At 49.8% G+C, this 22,252-nt stretch overlaps 1 protein-coding gene across 17 annotated transcripts in view, besides 1 other annotated feature; it reads right to left on the bottom strand.

Annotated features, from left to right (window-relative positions):
• The window catches only part of TMCO4 (transmembrane and coiled-coil domains 4), a 117,677-nt gene that overhangs the window by 75,376 nt on the left and 20,049 nt on the right, over window positions 1-22,252 (bottom strand). For 16 of the 17 annotated variants that reach the window (NM_001349112.3, XM_011541185.4, XM_047416926.1 and 13 more), the window contains 2 exons: window positions 13,693-13,867; window positions 12,927-12,954 (listed from right to left, as the gene is read on the bottom strand). The exons of the other annotated variant lie outside the window; for it this stretch is intronic. In NM_001349112.3, the coding sequence (NP_001336041.1) occupies window positions 12,927-12,954; window positions 13,693-13,867 (203 nt within the window). The remainder of the gene's footprint in view (window positions 1-12,926; window positions 12,955-13,692; window positions 13,868-22,252) is intronic. 17 annotated transcript variants of the gene reach the window in all.
• Window positions 7,385-8,584: an enhancer, noted in NCBI's record as "MED14-independent group 3 enhancer chr1:20091493-20092692 (GRCh37/hg19 assembly coordinates)". NCBI's record gives its function as "activates an origin of replication core promoter dependent on BRD2, BRD4, P300/CBP and CDK7 cofactors, and independent of MED14, by STARR-seq in HCT116 cells {active_cell/tissue: HCT116}" and the evidence as "EXISTENCE:reporter gene assay evidence [ECO:0000049][PMID:35650434]".

Raw genomic sequence — 22,252 nt, forward strand, 5'->3', positions numbered from 1 at the left:
CACCTCCTCTCTGAACCCTCTCTGCATCACTCCTTCCTTTGGGGGTCTGTGATCGCTTACACAGACCTCTCTCTCAGTATCTTCCCCATTTGATTGTACTCATCATATCTTACTAGACTGTAAGCTTAGTCATCTGTTTTTCCAACTGCTGTACCTACCTGGGGTGTGACAATAAGAACTCAAAAAATGTTTATGCAGTGAATGAACCAATGAATAAACTCTTCCGAATTTTAGGTCAAATTCTTTGTGACTCAAGTACTATGACATGCTTCCAAATTGAATGTTTTTGACAGAGAAAATCACAAGGACCTGGCATTCAGCTACTCCGCACTCACCTTCCCTGTGTGCCCTGGCCCTGTGAAGACACAAGTTGTCTAAAACGCTAATTCCCCAGTCCAGCTGCCTATTAGCATGACCTGAGAAGCTTGCCAAAAATAGGGTTTCCTGAGTTCTGGTATAGGGGACCCTCCTTTCCCTGGCCTCATGTTTCCATGTGAGGGACCATTTACCATGACACAGTCCCTGAAGTCTTGAAGTTTGAGGTTTCGGCTTCTGCAAAAGAAATCAGTTCCTTCCTTGACCCAGGGTCCCCAGAGTGAAACAGGGTCTCTTGGGGCTGCCCTGCTGTCTCCCAGGATGAGGAGCTGTCTACGTGCTGGGGACAGACACCACATGCTGTGGCTTGGGGTTATTAGATTCAGTAAACTTCCATGGAAAAAAGGAGCTCCTTCCTTCCCCCATAGGAGCAAAGACTACTGTGCCCACGTGATAATCGGGTTGTAGAAATCAAGCTTTGGCCATGATGATTAATTGGTGGCAATGATAATTAGTTGCTAATACATACTCCACTGGTCAAGGCTGCAGTGATTCACCTTCCAGCATGCAGGCTGCTGGGTGCATGTGTGATTAACATTCCTGTGGTAATCTCAGGCACGGGGCTTTTGTATCTTAGCCTTGTGTATAGGTCATTTCAAGGACTTGGTGGCAGGGATGCTGGTCTTGGAGCCAGGGTTCGTAGTTTAAGGCATGTTCCTTCTGGAAGCTCTAGGAGCAAATCTCCTCGTCTAGAAGGCAGTAGGGAGGGGCAGAGTCCTGGGCTACCCAGGATATTGGCATTCTCTGGCCCAGGCTCTACTGCCAACTTGCCAGGGGCCAACTTGCTCCTTGAGAGCCTGTCCCAATGAAAGGTGCCCCACAGGCCAGGCGTGGTGGCTCATGCCTGTGCCTGTAATTCCAGCACTTTGGGAGGCCGAGGTGGGCCAATCACTTGAGGTCAGGAGTTCAAGACCAGCATGGCCAACATGGTGAAACCCCTTCTCTACTACAAAATACAAAAATTAGCCAGGTATGGTGGCACACGTTTGTAATCCCAGCTACTCGGGAGGCTAAGGCAGGAGAATTGCTTGAACCTGGGAGGCAGAGGTTGTAGTGAGCCAAGATCATGCCACTGCACTCCAGCCTGGGCAACAGAGAGAGACTCGGTCTCAAAAAAAAAAAAAAAAAAAAAAAAAAAAGTGCTCCATCCACCCTGGGGCTCAGACCACAAGCCTGGGCATTGCTCTTAGTTCTTGTTTCCCTGTCCCGACATGTAACCCAACAGCTGATGCTGACAGCTGCACCTGCAAAACATATCCTGGGTTTGACCACTTCACTCCTTCTCCACTGCCACCGCCACAGCCACAGCCCTCGCTCTCCAACCACCAGCCGCCTCACTGCTCTCATCTTTCACTCTTGCCTCTGCACTCCATTTGCCAAACAGCAGCCACTGAGCTTCTTTAAAATCATCAATCCGGTCATGTTCTCTCCCTGGCTTAGAGCTCTCTGACAGCTCCCCAGTGCACTTAGAATAAAGTCCACATTTCTTTCCATGGTCTGCAAGACTGCACATTATCCAGCCCCTTCCTGCCATCCTCTCCGACCTCACCTTCTACCCGGCCCTGCTTCAGGCACCAGCAGCTCAAGAAGCCAAGCTCACGGCTGCCTCGGGGCCTTTGCACTCGCTGTTCTTGATATCTGGGAAGTTCCTGCCCCAGATCTCTGCTCAGCTGCCCTTTCCCATCAGTCAGGTCTCCACTTAAATATCACTTCCTTAGAGAAGCCAGCGGCTCCTGAATCAGAACAGCTCAGCCCCCAGTCACCCCATCTCCATTACCCCATTTCCCTGTATAGGTTTATTGTCTGGCTTTCCCCATTGGAATGTCTGTCCCACAAGGGCAGCGACATTTACTTTGTTCCTTGCTGTTCTCCCAGTGCTTGGGACAATGCCTGGCAGTTAGTAGGTGCATAGTTAAGATGTGTTGAGTCATGAGCTGACCAAAGTTCTCTCTTGCCTGCCAGGGTTCTGTGCTGTGGCCACCTGCCCCAAGCAGCACAAAAGACCTTTCTCTGCCTCCCACCTCCACTGAGACTCCCTCTCCCTCTCTAGTACCCTCCAAGTCCTGCTCCCCCAGGGGACTAGGGGAGAGTGGATTAATGGGTTAAGGCCTCTCTCCTCCTCTCAGTGGGGTCTTCTCTTACAGTGGTGAATTATTCTTAAATGTCATATAGTCTTTTTTTTTTCTTTTTTAAGAGATGGGGATCTTGCTATGTTGCCCAGGCTGGTCTCAAACTCCTAGCCTCAAGCAATCCTCCCACCTTGGCCTCCCAAGTAGCTGGGACTACAGGCACATGCCACAAATATCAGAGGCTTGACTATGCCTGGAACACTCAGTTCCTTCCTCAAATGTCACCTTCTTGGAGAAGCCCTCCCTGACCCAGTCCACTCCTTCCTAGTCTCTTACCATGAGTTATTTCTCCGTATCTTTTTCTTTTCTTTTCTTTTTGAGACAGGGTCTCACTGTCACCCAGGATGGAGTGCAGTGGTATGATCTTGGCTCACTGCAGCCTCAACCTCCTGGGCTCAAGTGAGCCCTCACCTCAGCCTCCTGAGCAGTTGGGACTACAGGCATGTGCTTCCATGCTCTGATAATATATATATATCTCCAGCAATCCACACACCTTTGCCTCCCAAAGTACGTGGTGGGATTAAAGGCATGAGCCACTGTGACCAGCCATTTCTTCTTATCACCATTTAAAACAACTATATATATATTTTATTTGCCTACTTGTTTATTTTGTCTCCTCTTCTTCTAGAATATAAAATTTAAGCTCCAAATCCACTGTGCATCCCTAGTACCTCGGCCCATGCCAAAAACAAAGCAGAGGTTTAATAATCTTTGTACGTAAGAGGAATGGAATATTTGTAGAAATGAATGAATGACTGAGTGGCTGGAACTCTGTTGGGAGAGATCCAAATGCAGGGGACAGTTCTGCTGGATGAGATGTATATCCCCTTTCGGCAGAAACATCCTATGACCAATAATCCTATTAATCTGGAAGCTTCATTTATCACCTACTCATCTAGATCAGATTCTGCACTACACTCTCTGCACGTATTGGCTTATTGAATCCTTATGACCCTCTGAAGTGGCGGGTACTATAGAAACTCCATCTTCTCAAAGAGGAAAGTGAGGTGCAGAGAGCTTAGGCCAGTGGCCAGGTTCACCTGGACAGCGAGTAGTAAAGTGGCAGCCTGGGTGCAGATGCTGTGCACCTGACCGCCACCCATTCCCCGCACCATGAAGTGGGAAGGAGGGCCACGAGCTAGCAGAACACTGTCTTCCAGCCACACACCTCTCCCCGAAGCCCGCCCATGCTTCCAGCCTGCACCCCTTCCTCACGGCCTCCTTCTAAATCAGCCCATGATCAATGGGTGCTGCAACATCCCCCCATTGCTCCTGATAGATGTGCAGATTCCAGTCCAGTGCCCAGGCCCAGACTTTTGGATCCTGCCGGAAGGACCAAAGGAGCTGGTATCCAGAGGTCCTTTCCAGCTCAGAGATCTGAGGGTCAGCCTCAGGGTACCTGTTCCTCCTCACAAGGAGAGACCTTTAAAGCCCAAGGTCAAATGAACTTGAAACAGCCCAACAGCAACAGGGTCATGTGGAGACTTGACAGTCACAGCGGGACAGTGGTTCTTAGAGTTTAGGGAACATCAAGGTCCCAGAGAGCTTGTGGAATTACAGCTTCCTCGGTCCCACATGCAGGAGATCTGGGGTAGGGCTTAGGAATCTGTACTTTTAACAACACTCCCCACTCCCAGTGATTCTGAAACAGATGATTCCTACCCCAGGAAACAGAGCAGTGGGCTCCCCTCTTGCAAATGAGCTCCTCCCAGTCTGAGATAGTCTGGATGTGCTCATGCCTGGAGGCAGAGCGTGATGCTCCTCCTGCCACCTCTGCAGGGAAGGGAACCCGGCATCCCTGGCCTGCTCCTAAGCAGCAGGCATCATGGCAGGAGCTTGCATTTGTGATTGCTGATCCTCCCAATGGTCCTAGGAGGTTGTCACTATGATGCCGCATTTTGCAAATGAAGAAAGAACAGGTGCAGAGTGGATAAGAAACTTTCTCAAAGCCACACAGGTCAGAGAGTGCTGGAGCTTGGATTATAATCCAAATTATGTGATGCCAACATTTCTGCTCATTCCACTATGAGTGCCTTTTAAAGGCAAATGCCTTACTCTTGAGTGAGTTTGGTGTCCTAGGACAATCTCGTTTGGCCAGCTGTGAATCCTATATTTTATGCACATGGGGTATACATACAATCTCAGGGGCAGCCCTAGATCATGGGCCACAGGCACACCTAAAAGTTACGTATCACGGGATAACAGTTCTTTGGAAAGATGGGGGATTGGGGAGGGTGACCGAGGGATCTCGGCTCTGCCACCAGAGGGCAGAAGTGTGCCAGACACCCAGAACTGCGGGATTAGCCCTGGTGCCCACCCCAGACACACAACCACATACTGTGGGAGCCCCTGGAGCCAACTGGTCCCCCTGCTTCAACAAGAGCAAGGGGCATGTCCAGAGCCAGGCTGTGTGTTCATGATGGGACTCCTTCGCCCACCAGCATTTCTCAATACAGAAGCAGCTGCGTTTCGTACTTCATTATCGAACACTCTTATGCATCAAAGAATAGCAGCACCCTGGGAACTTGGCCCTAAATGCCAGTTGCACCCACACAGGTTGTGATAACAATCCTGACTCTCCCCACATTTCCAAATCCCCCAAATCAGGAGCGGGGGGCAGGACAGCCTCCTGTTGTAAGGCACTGAAACAGCCTGTTCCCAGTAATGGCTCCATCTCTGAGCATGGAGGTAGGGATGGTGGGTCGGGGCTGACCTCGTACCTGCTGGGAGAGCCCACACCTTTGGGAAGAGATCATGGTCAATCCCCGCCCTTTGGGGGCTGCCCTCCAGACCAAAGCGAAGGAACCCAGAGGCAGAAACTTCAGCCTTTGTCAAACAGACCTGGGTTTAAATCTTGATCTAAGTTCCTACTAGCTGAATGGGTTCAGTAAGTCTCTTAACCTCTCTGAGCCTCAGTTTCTTCATCTGCAAAAGGGGAATAAGAATATCTTTTTCTTTTTTTCTTTTTTTTTTTGAGATGGAGTTTCACTCTGTCACCCAGGCTGGAGTGCAGTGGCACGATCTTGGCTCACTGTAATCTCCGTCTCCAGGGTTCAAGCGATTCTTGTTCCTCAGCCTCCCGGGTAGCTGGGATCACAGGTACCCACCACCATGCCTGGTAACTTTTTGTATTTTTAGTACTGATGGGGTTTCACCATGTTGCCCAGGCTGGTCTCGAACTCCTGACCTCAAGTGATCTGCCTGCCTCGGCCTCCCAAGTGCTGGGATTGTTACAGGCGTGAGCCACCACGCCGGGCCAAGAATATCTTTTTGATCTGGCTTTTGTTGAGGGACAATAAGAGGATGGATGTGGTGAGCTTGGCTGGCACCTGGGACACAGTAAGTGCCCGATACAGGGTGGCTGATATTACTTCATGGGAAATTGTCATGTTTCCTCCTTCCTGTACCTGTTAAGAAGCCACTCTCTGAGCCAGGGTGCCAGGGTGAGGCTGTGGGCTGCCTGCTGCTGTGCCAGGGCAGGGGCCCTTTGTCTCTCTTCTCCCTGGGTCTGAGGACACACCTCACAGGTCACATTCATATAACTGCTAACCTCACCCACCACCCTACTATCCCTTGATTCACCAACTTTTCTAATTACATACTTTTTCTAGAATATTTATTACGTAGCCCCATTTTTACCCTAAATGAATTATTTCCCATATAAAGAAGAAACTACACAGTATTCCAGTACCATACACCCTGTCCATTGCTGAGCACTGGGTTGAAGCCCCGTTGTGTGCCCAGGGTCCCGATTTTGAGAGGCTGAGCCTGGCTGCAGAGCCCTCACAGGGCAGTCTAACTCAGGACATCTTGGGGATGATTCTTGCCTTTTGTCCTCATGGCTTAGGACGATTAAGGGCATTAAGGCAGTGACAAGCTTACTTCAAGACCAGTGGTCTTGGAGCAGAGGGGAGAGAGGAGGGGTTGCTTCTGAGACCCTCCCATCTCCACCTTCTTGGATGTAGGATCAGTAAGAGAAGCAGCTCCTTTGGTTCCTGCCGCATGGGCACCCGCCCTTCATTCAGGCCTCATCCAACCCTCTTAAAGTCAGCTTCAGGGGTGAAGTCTCCACTTATCTCCATGTGGGAGGTGGAACAGCAGGTAAGAGGTGGACTCAGGAGCCCCGGGGCCTGTCTGGAATCCTAACTTCTCACTTTCCAGCTTGGGCAGGCATTTCATTCTCTGCGCTGCAGTTTCCTCTGCTGTAAAATGGGAACAGTAACAGCATCTACCTCCAAGGGTCATTGTGGGGTTTCAACGAATTGGTTCCTATAAAGAAAGCACTTAGCTCAGAGCCAGGCATACAGTAGGCACTCAACGAGCATGTGCTATTAGAGTTACTCTCAGTGCCTCACACGGGGCCGGGCATACACAGCAGGTGTCAGTTCTTATTTGCGGAATAGATGGACCAGGCTGTTTGGATACGGATTATAAACTGTATGAGTCTCAAGGATGTTGGGCTGGGCGTGGTGGTGGCTCACGCCTGTAATCCCAGCACTTTGGGAGGCCGAGGCAGGCAGGTCAGGAGTTCGAGACCAGCCTGACCAACATGGAGAAACCCTGTCTCTACTAAAAATACACAAAAATTAGCCAGGCGTGGTGGCACATGCCTGTAATCCCGGCTAGTCGGGAGGCTGAGGCAGGAGAATTGCTTGAACCCGGGAGGTGGAGGTTGCAGTGAGCCAAGATTGCGCCATTGCACTCAAGAGTGAAACTCTGTCTCAAAAAAAAAAAAAAAAAAAAAAAAAAGGATGTTGATGGAGAACCCAGCAGCCAGGTGACAATATTTGCATTTTACCACAACCTAAGACTAACACCTCAAGTCTTTCTGATTCATCAGGGAGGCAGGGTTTGCAATCCAGTAATAAATACCAGGCCAGAAAGCAGAGCCACGTCTGCGGTAGAGAGTGCCGTGGCTCAAGTGTGTGTGCCTCCTGCAGTTCCAGGGCCTAGAGGTGATCCTCCCTTTGGATTCAGAGATCAGAGGGCAAAAATCATGACGCAGTTTAAGTCTCCCAGGGACCAATACAGAGTTCACGGTGAGATTCACTTGGCCTTAAATGGAGTTTTGAAACTTACTTTGAAATGTAATCCTGGGCTACTCACTTAACCTGCAGAACCTTCATTTTCTCCCCTGTAAGAGCAGGTTAACAGTACCAGTCTCAGCAGCAGATCTGATGATCATCTACTCTGCAATAACTCAGAATCTATGTAAGCGGCCTAGAAGAGCAACTAGAAGAACTTAGGAAGATTACCAAATGCAAGTAAACCAGCCCCACCTGAGATGGCCGTATTTTCAGTTTTGCAACCTAGAGGACATTGGCAACCTAGAGGACATTGGAGCCATTTCTGGTTATCGCAGCTCAGGAATGTCTACTGGCACCTAGTGGGTAGAGGCCAGGGATGTGGCTAAGCAGCCCATGGCACACAGAATAGCCCCCCACAACAGAATGATCCAGCCTCAAACATCAATTGTGTGGAGGTTGAGAGTTATCAGCTCAGATTTAGTTTAACTTTCATCACGTAAAAGACTTATTTTTTCGGTTGTGTGGGCAAAGCGCTTCGTGGGTTGCTACTAGATGAGGAGAAGGAAATGATTAGCATGCACAAAAAATTCCGCCCAGCTGCCAATATGGCACCGTTCGGTGACTAACATCCCAAAACTCTCAGTAAAGGTCAACCTTCCAGGAAGTTCTGAGAAATGCAGCTTTTCATGCTAATTTCCTGGGCTGACTCCGTGACTAATCAGCCCGTCTCACACCCAGGGAGAAATCCTGCAGCACAGATAGCCTCCTCCTCTGCCCCCATCAATCTCTGTAGAAGGAAGACATTCAGCAAATCATGCTGCTCAGCATCTAAGCTCATTCTCCAAAGAAGGGTCGCCCACCCATCCTTCTATTGCTCTCGCCCTCCTTCTCTCCATCCAACAAGTACCAAGTGTCCACCATGCATCCGTCAGAAGACATTCAGCAAATCATGCTGCTCAGCATCTAAGCTCATTCTCCAAAGAAGTGTCGCCCACCCATCTTTCTATTGCACCCTCCTTTTTTCCCTCCATCCAACAAATACTAATGCCCACCATGCGTCCATCCGTGTTGCACTTGCTGGGATGCAAAGGTAAACAGGCCCAACAAGGGCACTGCCCTCATGGAGCTCACGAGGAAGGACCTGGACAACTGGCCCATCCACGACACCAACCTTTTCCTTACAAGATCCTTGTAAGGATCTTGACATGCTTTACAAGATCATGTTCTTAGAACCCAAGACAGTTTTTAAAAATAGTGTTTTTATGGAACATTTGGCTCTTGCCCCTTATTTGTACTTGAAATTGGAGTTCAGAGAGGTTAAGCGACTTGATCAAGGTCACACGCAAGAGTCTCAAGAGACAGGATGAAAATCCAGGTTCCCTGACTCCAGGGTTTTCCCATTTCACCATGGCCACCATCACCCCAGCAACACTCACAGCCCGTGCCCTGCCTGCCAGCTCCATGCTGGGCACTCTACATGGATTCGCTCATGTAATCCTCACCGCCACCCTACAAGGTAGAGACTACTGTTACTCCCTTGGATGCCTGGGGAAACCAAGGCACAGAGACATTCAGTAACTTGCCAAGGTGGGGCTTGAACTGTAATACAATCAATCCCCAAAATACTCCCCATTCTTGGTCCCTGGTTATTCGTTAGAACAGATAAAGAGGTTGGACATGACAACCGTCAGCAAACCACTTCCCCCTCTAGGCCTCAGTTTCCCCATCTACATAAGAGGGTGGTCTAGGTGATTTGAGGGTCTACCTACCTCTGATCTCTGGGGACCTTTGGGGCCCTGGCACCTGCTCCCATTGGGTCCCAGTGTGCCACTGAAGCTGTTCCTCTTACCTGCTGGCACCTGTTGAGGCTATCAGATAAACCAAAGGCACCTCCCAGGCATTATCAAAGCCTGGTATTATTTAGATATGAGGTATTATTATATTCCCATGGGGATGCTTCAATTCCCTAATTCCTGAGGGTAAAATCTGCCAACGTTTTGACTAACAGCAGTTGTTTTAGAGTGTCCAGCTCTGCCACTTACTAGCTTAGGCAATTACTTCACTTCTATGGGCCTCGGTTTGTTCATCTGTAAAGTGGGAACGCCTACATTTAAAGGATGGCTGTGAGGATGAAATGAAACAGTGATTGACAAGAGCCAGGTAAGGTCACCAGCATTTAACGAGTGCTGAATAAGTGGTAGTCATTCTCAATGGAAATTTTAAGGGCGATGCTGGTTTAGATGTTGCCTATAATGAGAACGTGCCTGGGTGGGCATGAAGCACCAGGCAATGACATAAGACAGGCTGTTTTAAACCCACTCAATTCTGCCAGAGCCAGCTCCAAGGTCACAAACAGCAGAGAAGAGTCAGTGGAGATGTCTTAGGTGCCCAAGATGGTTTGGGGTTTGCAGGGGTGGGGTGCAGAAAGAGGTGGTGGGATGCATATGACTCTCTCTGGGTGAGGAAAGAGGGAAAGTTAGATTCCGGGGCCAAGGCTGCTTCTCTTTCTACTTGATGAAGAAGCAATGAGAGAAAGGAAGGGCTGACCCAGGAGGCTGGAGAACTGCTTCTGACTCCCAGTCTACCTCTGCTGCTGTGTGTCTGCAAGGAAGCCCCTTCCCCTCTCTGGGCCTCAGTCTCTCCACCTGTGAAAATGAGAGGATCGCCGGGCATGGTGGCTCATGCCTGTAATCTCAACACTTTGGGAGGCCGAGGTGGGTGGATCACTTGTGGTCAGGAGTTCGAGACCAGCCTGGCCGACATGGTGAAACCCCATCTCTACTAAAAATACAAAAATTAGCCAGGCGTGATGGCACATGCCTGTAATCCCAGCTACTCAGGAGGCTGAGACAAGAGAATCACTTGAACCCGGGAGGCAGAGGTTGCAGTGAGCTAAGATCATGCCACCTGTACTCCAGCCTGGCGGACAAGAGCGAAACTTCATCTCAAAAAAAAAAAAAAAAAAAAGAGGATCATCCAAGTTGACCTTGATGTGTGAGATTCAGGTCTGCAAGATGGGGGCAATGGCCTTAACCACCTCACTGGAGGACGAGATGAAATGCCAGCACAAGCCCTTAGCGCCATGCCTGCCGCGCAGCTAGGACTTGGCACATGGCGGCTTTGCCATTACACTGATTCCAATATTAGATTCTATGTGCTGAGCTGCTGCCCTGATCTCCAGCAGCCCGAGTCTCAGACCACCATGCAACTCAGCCTTTCTCTCCAAGGGAGTCCAGGAGGATCAGATACTATTATTCTTCCCTCACTTCTGTTAAAAAAATAAAGTGACACAATCACTCTGTAATGAAATATATGACAACTCCTGAGACTGCCTGGCCCTGGAAATGTAAGCTCCAGGGGGTGCAGAGAGAAAATGCCCCAAACTCAGAGTCCAGTGACCGAAGCAATGTTCTCAGGCCAACCCTGCCACTCCCTTGGGGGCCGCCTGGCTGTCTCTGCTACATAAAGTATTACCGAAGGCCTCGCCTGCCTCAAAGCAGAGGCTGGCCTGGTCACCCGTGGAGAGCCCTTTCAGCTCCACGATATGGAATTAAAATACTTTGGATACACTAGGCCCAAACACACTCTTTGGAGCCTTAGAGCAGCGCTCCTCTAAGTAGAAAGCACTCAGGAATTGCCTGGATTCCACGCAGATCCCAATCAGCGGGTCTGGGCGGGGGCTGAGACTCTGTATTTCTCACAAACCTCCCAGCAGTGCCGATGCTGCTGGGTCCACATACCACACTGAGAGTAGCAAGGGCTTAGAGGCCTTTTTTAAAAAACAGTAAAGAAAGTTTATTATGCTAATAACAAGAATCCCCAAGGTAGGGTGACCTACATGTCCTGCCACCCCGGCAGGCACTGACTGCACTAAACACACGTGCATGGCCAAGCACGCATGAGAAAGCAGCTCATCCGCCCTGCTGCGTGGGCTTCAGCAAGCCTCAGCACCCTCCTCTTTTAGGGTTCCTGACTACCACCTGCCCTGAAAGGGTCACTGGAGACAAACGCTAGGATTCCTGAGACAGAGTCCCAGTCCCCTTGCAGCTGGCGCCAGACCACTAGAATCTGAGGGCTGAGATGTCACTTCTGAGCCCTCTCCCTTCTACTCTCTGTACCTGGTCTGCAGCAGTTCTGCAGCATGAAGAATGGTACCGGGGGCAGCCCCTCACCCCTCCTCTCTCTGCTCTCCTTGCTGAAGCCGGCCATCTGCATACCTGCCCAGGTGAAATCCATCCCACTCTCCCTCCTCAGGCTTCCAACTGGCCCAAAGCCCGCCCACTGCACTGCTGCCCTGCTGACCTTCCCCTGTGGCTCCTTCCCACTATGAAATTCTGCTCTTCCTCCTCCTCCTTCCACTAGGAGGGTTCCAGTGGGGAGCCAGGCAAAAGTTTCCCTATTACAGGGTTTGGAGGATGCTGGCAATTTCTTCTATGTTGTGTTTCCTCCCTGCTTGCCATCAGAATAAACATCAGAGGTCACTGCATAAAAGCGTCTCCCCAGTTTAGAGAACAGAAGAAGCCACTTATGCAATAAGAGGGAAGCCCTGGCAGAGAGGAGCTGGTGGGAAGAAGTTGGACGGGAGCTGTGGGGGTGGGGAGGAGCTCAGGAGGCAGCCCGCATAGTGGCTTAATGCAGGCATCCTGGAATGGTAGACAGCAGTGGTCTCCAACCTTTTTGGCACTAGGGACCAGTTTTGGGGAAGACAGTTTTACCATGGACCAGTGTGGGGGCCGGGGATGCAAGCCGCAAAGCATACGTGCCCTGGGGTGCGTGCAAAGCCACAAAGCACACGTGCTTAGGGAGCTGCCGGAGGCCGGCATGGCTGAAAGCCCCACGGCAAGGGGACTGAAAGCAGAGGTGAGGCTGGAGCAGGACAAGGGTCAGCCCACCAGGGCCTGAGAGCCACACCAGAGGGGCTGATTTTTTTCTCCTGAGTGCAGAGGGAGCCACTTCGAGGCAGTTAGCAGGGAGGTGGCGTGGTCAGGTGGGCCTTTGAAAAGAACACTCTAGCTGCAGAGTGGGGAGAAAACTGCTGGCCAGAGTGGTGGCAGGAAGGCCAGTGAGAAGGCCCTGCTGTTATCCAGGAGGGGCGACAGTGGCTTAGACCAGGGGCCTGGGTGGAGAGGGGAAGGAACCAGATTCGAGAGTTACTTAGGAGGTAAAACCATAGGCCTATTGTGAGGAATAAGTGAAATAAACTCTGAGAAGCACCACACAGTCCTGGCATGAATGAAGGGCTCACCAGCTCACCAATGACATCAGGTTCCTTTCCTTCCTGAAGTCAAAAGACCACGGGGGACCCGGCCCCAGGTGGTGGCACCTCTCACTGGCTTTGCTAGCCAAGGGTGCAGATGGGTACCCACCATTTACAGAGCTTAGAAAATCAACTTACCATCCTTGAGTGAGAAGCTCAGAAGGTCCTGAGGGAGAAGACAACAGGCATCAATGACAAAGCTGATATACGATACAGCGCGCTCATTTGACAAATATTGACTCCTACCAAGTGGCAGAACAAGACAGACAAAAAGCCACTGCCCTAGATTCTAGACGTGAGCCAGATGATAAACAGGCAAGCGAAGAAAGAAATACATGAGGACTTCAGGTAGTGAGATAAGGAGGGGAAGGGGCTATTTTAAATCCACTTACTTTCCCTACCAACAGTCTGCGTCACAAGCTTCTATCTGCTTTAACTGCAGGCATAGCTGGTGAGTGACATGCTCAAGGGCATACAGTGAAGCTTCTGCTTCTGAAAAGAGGTGCCACAGCTTAGAAGAATGCGGGCTCTGGAGTCAGACTACCAAGGTTCAAATCCTGGCTCCACCACTTATCAGCTGTGTGACCTTGGGCAAGTTACTTAACCTCTCTGTGTCTCAGTTTCCTCAACTATGAAATGGGGATGGCCCTACCACTTACCTCATAAAGTCACTTCAAGAATTAGATGAGTTAGTTTTTGAAAAGGAACCAGCACGTAATCAGCATTAAGAGTAAATATTCAATAATGATAATTCAACATCAGCTATGATCATGATATGATATTATGATGACATATTTTATCTTCCAACTGCTCCACCCCACTAGAAGTGATTTTTTAGGCTAACATTGAAAGAAAATGATTTGTTCTACTGTCCCCAGCAGCCACCACCAGGTGTTGGGTGTACCTGAGTGATCACCGTCGGGTCGTCCTTCAAGATGGGGTCCTTCAGTAAAATTTGAACAAACACATCTGCTCCTTCACCTCCCAGGCCGCTCGCAAAAGCAGTCATGGTTGGCAAGACAGCTTCAGACAACTCCAGCCACTGCACCAGGCCTGCCATGAACTCTGTGCAGAAGGAGCTGAAAGGCAGACATGGCTTAGTTCTCCAGGATCCTCAGAGCTCAGCCTCCACTGGGCAGTGTAGATTAGTTGTGGTCACGGATGTGAACAGCTGGCACGTGCCTGACTTACTGACTGTGATCCCTCAAATACAGAGGCAGTCAAAGACCTCATCTTGGGTGATGTAAATTTTGTTTTTTGTTTTTGTTTTGAGATGGAGTTTCGCTCTTGTTGCCCAGGCTGGAGTTCAGTCGTGCAATCTTGGCTCATCCCAACCTCTGCCTCCCGGGTTCAAGTGATTCTCCTGCCTCAGCCTCCCGAGTAGCTGGGACTATAGGTGCCCGCCACCACGCTTGGCTATTTTTTTGTATTTTTAGTAGAGACAGGATTTCACCATGTTGGCCAGGCTGGTCTTGAACTCCTGACCTCAGGTGATCCACCCGCCCCGGCCTCCCAAAGTGCTGGGATTACAAGCGTGAGACACCGTGCCCAGCCTGGGTGATGTGGATTTTGGTTTCTTCTCTCACCAAAATGTTTATCAAAGAGGCTGATAAGCCACAGCAATGACAGCAATGGATGGTGACTGGTTGCATGCCTTGGGCCTGGGCTGTGCCAGGGGCGACGAATAAAGGTGAAAAACCTGGTATCTGAGGAAGCTCACAGCAGGGTGGATGCTCAAGTAACCAAGTGACTCTAGAGCCGTGTGGTACCCTAGGACAGAGGTGGAGATCAGTTCAGTGCAGCCCACAGAGGGAGCCCCGGATCCACCTGCAGAAGTGACGGCAGCCACCAGAAAAGGCTTCCCAGAGAAGGCCATCTGCTCTCCTGGATGCTGCCAAGGACGTGCTTTCTGGAAAACGCTGGCTGCTGCAAAAGTGGAAGAAGTGAAGGGAAGAGTGCCCTCCACGTGCACTGCCACCGCCAGTCTCTGTCCATAGTGGGCATCTGAGTGCAGTCCTACAGGAGTCCCCAGGGGAGGATGGGATGGGGCCGCTCTAGGGGAGAAGGAAGCCTTTGAGCTGAGACACAGAGGTGGGGAGCCCAGAGCATTTGGGGGGATGATGGCAGAGTCCACACCAGACTTCTGACACAGCCACCTCTGTGGAGCAGGTGTGAGCCGGGTGGCAGGTGGGCCAGGAGAGTCACTTAGAAGTCGATTATACCACTCCCGGGAAAGGGCTGACACCCAGAAGCCAGGTCTGTCTCCAAAATCAGAGTCCCAGCCTGCCTCAAACCACATTGCCTTGGGACTCCAACACTGGGTTCTGCCCTGTAGGGCAGAGGCTGCACTCAGGCCTCTCAGAAACAAGCAGAGCTCCCAGGTGGTAGAGGCAATGTCAGGAGCCCCCTGCCCTTGCACCACATGACCCAGCTATCACATTCCTTAGAGTGGGACCGAGACCTTGATGGGAGTTGTGAGGAACTTGGGTTTAAATCCTAGCCTCAGCCGGGCGCAGTGGCTCACGCCTGTAATCCCAACGCTTTGAGAAGTGGGGCTGGGTGGATCACCTGAGGTCAGGAGTTCGAGACCAGCCTGGCCAACATGGTGAAATCCCGCCTCTACTAAAAGTACAAAAATTAGCTGGGCGTGGTGGCATGTACCTGTAGTCCCATATATTCAGGAGGCTGAGGCACAAGAGTCGCTTGAACCCAGGGGCGGCGGTTGCAGTGAACTGACATCGCACCACTGCACTCCAGCCTGGGTGACAGAGTGAGACTCTGTCTCAAAAATAAATAAAAATAAAAAAGTAAACTAAATCCCGGCCTCACCACTGTTACGGTCGGGTTCCTGGGAAGCTGCCCTGAAATGAGATGATTAGGGCTCCCCTTGGGATCAACACCCTGGGGAGGGAAGGGAGGAAGCAGGGTTGGGCAGAGGAGGCAGCTGAGCTATGATACAGTCTCAAGGGAGGTCTCAGCAGCCCCTGCAGGGAGTTCTAAAGATGGGATGACACTTCGGAACTGTCTCCAGCGGGGTGAGAGGGCCAGGCCTTTACAGCTGTGCATCAGCCAGTTACCGGATGCAGGTGCCCCAGGGAGGGGACAGAACCTCAGGCAACGTGGCTCCCTTCAGCTGAGGCAGGCCCAAAAAGGTACAGACAGCTCAGGGCTGTGCTGGCAGCCTTGCCAGCAGCTGGGGGTGAAAGGCCTTCATTCTTGAAGAGGAATCTTAGCAGAGAGCATCTTGGGAAAGTGTAATGGCCTCTCTGTGCCTCAGTGTCCTTATCTGCAAAATGGGTTCAAGAGACCAACTTCATAAGGTTGGTTGAGGATGAAGTGAGATGATAAATATAAAGGGCCGAAAGTGAGCCTGGCATGTAGTAGAGGCTCAACTACATGAGACTAAAAACGATGTTAGCTAGTATCGTTATTTTGATTTACAAGGTGGCAGAGGGAGGCAGTGGAGGATGGGGTTAAGAGTTGGACTCTGAAGTCCAACCACCTGGGGGAGTCCTGGTTCCCCTGGAAATTGGCTTTGTGTCCTCACTTTACCTCTCAGCTTCATTTCCCTCTGAGATAACATGTGGATAATAACAGGACCTGCCTCACAGGTGAGTTGGGCAGGTTAAATGGCATGGTAACACTGTCTGGCACCAGTGAACCCTGGATAAATGTTAGCTACTGCTACCACAGTGATTATAATTTGCCCCACTGCAATTTACTGGGATTACCTTGGGGTGGTAATGAGGTATGTATTTGGGGAGGGGATGGCTAAGTAAACCAAACGTTACTTAGAAGCAAATTTATATACAGAAAGGGCTCAGGGCCAAGGACTACAGCATGGCCTGGTCCTGCTGTCCACGAAGAAAGTTTTGGATATGGAGAAGCAACTCTTAACGAGAGTGCAGGGGCAAAGAGCACAGACTGGTTCAAATCCCAGCTCTACCATGAGCTGTGTGATCTTGGACAAGTGACTTCACCTCTCTGGGCCTTAGTTTCCTTATCTGTAAAACAGTGGAGATGATGAAAGGTATTTCATAGGGTTGTTGAAAGGATTAACTAAGTAAGTATTTGTCATGTGCTTAGAACAATACCTGGCACCTACAAAGCACTAGAGAGTAATGTGTTTCTTTCCATAGACAAATGAATTAAAAAAAATATATATGCAAAGTGCCAGCACAGCAATTTACCAAATAACAAGTAGCATTTTAGATCGGCAGGGCCTTGATAATTGCTACTAATGTGTTTGTTGGTCTGGTGGAAATACAGGAAAATCAACAGCAACAATGACAGCAGATAACAATTGTAGAGCAACTGTCCGTCAGTCCCTGTGCTGAGAGCTTCGTACACCTTGAGTTACTTAATTCTCACCATGACCCCATGAGGAAGGGAGGTACTAGTTAAGGGAGGTACTAGTTTACACTACTCTAGAGATAAGGAATCCTAGATCCAGAGAGGTTAAGTGACAGCTCCAGATTCACGCCTACATCTCTGGGACCCCAGAGGCTATGCATACCAGCTGCAGAGGTTACCCCACTCCAGTGGTTATGTCCCTGAGCACCCACCATGCACGGGCCACTCACTGAGCAAGGGCATCAAACATCCCCTTTCATCCTACCCCATCTTACACAGGGCGCACCTGGCCTGCTGGGTTTGGTTTGTTTGTTTGTTTGTTTTTGAGACAGAATTTCACTCTTGTTGCCCAGGCTGGAGTGTAATGGCACGATCTTGGCTCACTGCATCCTCTGCCTCCCAGGTTCAAGCGATTCTCCTGCCTCAGCCTCCCAAGTAGCTGGGATTACAGATGTGCACCACCACACCCATCTAATTTTGTAATTTTAGTAGAGACAAGGTTTCGCCATGAGATTTCACCATGTTGGCCAGGCTGGTCTTGAACTCCTGACCTCAGGTGATCCACCCGCCTCGGCCTCCCAAAGTGCTGGGACTACAGGCATGAGGCACCGCGCCTGGCCAGGACTGCTGGTTAAATGTCTTCTCAAAGTTCTTACAGCAGGGACAGGACAAAGCCTTCCCTGGAATCCAGGCTTCCTGATTCCTAGTCCAAAGCTCCTCCCACTCACCAGGGCTTAGAAAACTACAGCTAACCAGCCATATCTTGCCTGCAGCCCTTATTTGTGAGTAAAGTTTTATTGAAACACAGCCACATGCATTATTTCACCTACTGTCTGTGGCTGCTTTTGTGCTATCACGGGAAAGGTATGAGTAACTGTGACAGAGACTGCCAGGCCTGCATGCCTAAAATAACTGGCCCTTGGCAGAAGACGTCTGTCCATCCCTGCTGTACCCCATTAATTTCTCCATGTTTGATCAATGGAATTAATTAAAGGGAACAGCATCTGTGATGTTCACAGCATGGAAAAGAAATAAATGTTTTAGAGGGTTGCTTTTATATCCTGTGGGATCAAGAACGGCCACACAGTGTTTTCTAAAGATTACTAAAACCAAGAGCATATCTGGGCTTTAAAAATATTGAGGTATTTATTTATTTTGTTTATTAGTTTTATTTTTTGAGATGGAGTATCGCTCTGTCGCCCAGGCTGTGGCATGATCTCGACTCACTGCAACCCCCACCTCCCGGATTCAAGCGATTCTTCTACCTCAGCCACCCAAGTAGCTAGGATTACAGGCATATACCACCACATCCGGCTAATCTTTGTATTTTTAGTAGAGACAGGGTTTCACCATGTTGGCCAGGCTGGTCTCAAACTCCTAACCTCAAGTGATCTGCCCGCCTCAGCATCCCAGAGTGCTGGGATTACAGGCATGAACCACCACACTCGGCCAATATTGAGGTTTTTAAAAAACATGTTTTGTGCATCAGAAAACAGAGCAACCATGTGGAAACAACCGGCATACTGAACGGGAAACATTCGAGAAGGAAACACTCCACGGCAAATGCTTATGGCCAGGCAACAGCCACCTGTGTTTATAACAACGCTTGGATATTGTGGAGTGGGGGTGGGAGACACAGGACAGTAACTCGCTGCCTTATGTGCCCTCCTAAGTAGCGCCTAGTATGGGCCTGGCACACAGTCCAGATTCATAAACATTTGTTCATGGAAACAAAGTACACAAAGCTCTTCCTTGGCTAGGTACTGGTTTATCAGGTAGGAGTTTCATTATTAACAACAAGACCAACCAATATTTGCTTGGTAGTAGTTTGGTGTCAGGTTCTGCAAGGGCCATCAACACATACCCTCCTTACAATCACCCTCTTGGATGGTGTTGCCAACAGCTTCTCTGAAACAGTAATTCCCCAGCCCCTTCTTCCTGGCTGGCAGAACTCATCTCCCATGATGGAGGTTGAAAACAGCAAAAGCCAGGCGGCCGCGGTGGCTCACGCCTGTAATCCCAGCACTTTGGAGGCCAAGGTGGGCAGATCACTTGAAGTCAGGAGTTCAAGACTAGCCTGGCCAACACGGTGAAACCCCGTCTGTACTAAAAATACGAAAATTAGCCAGGCATGGTGGCGTGCGCCTGTAATCCCAGCTATTCAAGAAGCTGAGGCAAGAGAATTGCTTGAATCCAGGAGGCAGAGGTTGCAGTGAGCCAAGATCACACCACTGCACTCCAGCCTGGGCCACAGAACGAGACACTGTCTCAAAAAAAAAAAAAAAAAAAAAAAGAAAAGAAAACAGCAAAAGCCTCTATTTGTTCCCAGGCTTCCCTGTACCTGTACCTGCAGGTTGGGCACGTGACAGGATCTAGCCAATGACACCAAAGGAAGGCTTCTTGGCTTCTCGGGGTATTTTGGGAAAGATGTCCTCCCTGACGGGAGACTTGGGGAGAATCCCTGCCCTCTGCCCTCTTCCTTCCTGCCTTGGGCCTTGTCCTGTGAGGGTGTGATGTATGGAGCTGCAGCAGCTATTTTGTGATCAGGAGGGGAAGGCCAACAGAACTGTTCAGAAGCCAACCCAAAGGCCTTTTTTTTTTTTTTTTTTGAGACAGAGTCTCACCCTGTCACCCAGGCAGGAGTGCAGTGGCACGATCACAGCTCACTGCAACCTCTGCTTCCCAGGTTCAAGTGATTCTTGTGCCTCATCCTACCTAGTAGCTGGGATTGTCAGTGTGTACCACTCACGTCTGGCTAATTTTTATATTTTTAATAGATTCGGGGTTCTGCCATGTTGGCCAGGCTGGTCTTGAACTCTTGGCCTCATGTGATCTACATGCCTCGGCCTCCCAAAGTGTTGGGATTACAGCGTAAGCCACTGCGCCCAGCGCCAAAAACCTCTTGAGGCACTGAATCAACCCTGGAACCTTGGGATTTCTTGTTAAGTGAAAAAAACAAATCTCCTGTTGTTTAAATCTCTCTTAGTACTGTGTTCTATTACTTGTAGCCTGACTGCTGGGCATAGTGGCTTGAACCTGTAATCTCAGCTACTTGGGAGGCTGAGATGGGAGGACTGCTTGAGGCCAGCCCAGGCAGCATTGTGAGACTCTGTCTCTAGAAGAATAAAAAGTTAGCCAGGCATGGTGGCATGCATCTGTAGTCCCAGCTACTCAGAAGGCTGGGGTGGGGGAAGACCACTTGGGCCCAGGAGTTTGAGGTTACAGTGAGCTATGTCTGTATCACTGTACTCCAGCCTGGGTGACTGAGACCCCATCTCTAAAAAACAAAAATTAAACAACCAAAAAACCACAAAAATATCCTAAGTGGTAGGAGTAAGTGTGGTATTATCTTCATTTTCTGGATGAAGAAACAACTAGGGCAAAGAAAGTAACTCAGAGATTCAGCAAGCAACCACTACCATTTATTGAGTGCCTACTATGTGCTAGGCACTGTGCTGTGTGCTTTGTCTACATCATCTCATTATTTATATTTATTTATTTATTTATTTATTTATTTATTTATTTATTTATTTTTGAGACAGAGTCTTGCTCTGTTGCCCAGGCTGGAGTGCAGTAGCACGATCTTGGCTCATTGCAACCTCTGCCTCCCGGGTTCAAGCGATTCTCCTGCCTCAGCCTCCTGAGTGGCTGGGACCACAGGTGTGCACCACCATGCCTGGCTAATTTTTGTATTTTTAGTAGAGATGGGGTTTCACCATGTTGACCAGGCTGGTCTCAAACTCCTGAGCACAGGCGATCCACCTGCCAAAAGTGGTAGGATTACAGGCGTGAGCCACTGCACCCGGCTACATCATCTCATTTAATTCCTGCAATCACCCTGCAGCATGGGTATCATTAGCCCCATTCTACAGATAAATAAACTGAGGCTTAGGGAAGTTAAATAAACTGCTCGAGGTCACATGAGACTGGAAAGTGGCAGAGTTAAGATTTGAACCCAGATCTGAGTCCAGAGCCTATGGACCATCTCCTTGTTGACAAAGCCAGCATTAACCTACCTCTTCTTTTCACGAACCTTTACCAGGTATCTTTGCTATACTGAGCTGTGTGCAAGGCACTGGGAACTCTGAGATGAACAAGGTAGCCCCTGCCCTCCCGAGCTCAGACTGGAGGGGTAGCAGGTATGGAGAGTTCCTGCACAGTGTGGTGGTTGCAGAGATGGGTCGCTGGGCATACAGGTGGAACAATGCCCTGGTCTGGAGGACAGATAAGGGAAGGCTTCCTGGCGGTAACCCCCAAGGAGTTGAGTATGTTCAACTGTTCAGTCCAGTGGACAGACAAAGACAGAAAAACAAAAACCCCAAACAGCTAAGACCCAAGGCATGAAGGAAGTTTACTCATGGGGGACCACTGAGTGTATGTGGGGGCCGTGTCTTGAAAACACTGCAGATGCAAGAGCTTCTCACCATCTCCTGGCCCAAGTCTTGTGCTCCCTGTCCTAGTAACGGTATCTCAGTGCTCCTACGCTCTCTTCCCCCTCTGAACCTTTGGAGCCATAGTGAGCTCCTGCCTCTGCCTCACCCGCAACACTCAACCTCTTCCCAAGTCAACTCCATTCTCCCTGAGAAAAGTCTGTCCCATCTGTGTCCTCTGTCCACCACTCGGTCATTGTCCTCATTCCCCTGGATGACTCCGTTGGCCTCCTAACTGGCCCCCTCCTGCCTCCATACTCTCCCCTCTAGAATTTTTTAAGGTCAAAGCCCATGCTCTTAACAGTTCTGCTATTCTGACTCCAAATATGTGATTTAAACACACACATGGGAGGTACTGTCAATGATAGAGATGAAATATAACGATGTCATTCTTTTGCTCCCACGACCCCGTTTAAACTCATCACAGCACTCACTCATCTGTATCTGTCCCCTGTTACAATCAGCCACCTGGGCACCCCTACCTAGATGTAAGCACCTTGAGGGCAGGAGCTGGGCCTTGCTCGTCTTTGTTTCCTCCACAGGGCCATGTGCTACACCCAGCACATAGTAGGGGCTCAACAAATGCATGTTTCATGAATGAATAAATATTAATATCTTATCCGTTCCTGGACGGTGTCCTACTTGATTGGGGGATGGTATCTGTCTCATTCACATTTACCC

Source organism: Homo sapiens, chromosome 1 (genome assembly GCF_000001405.40).
Source record: "Homo sapiens chromosome 1, GRCh38.p14 Primary Assembly".
Taxonomy (NCBI): Eukaryota; Metazoa; Chordata; class Mammalia; order Primates; family Hominidae; genus Homo; species Homo sapiens.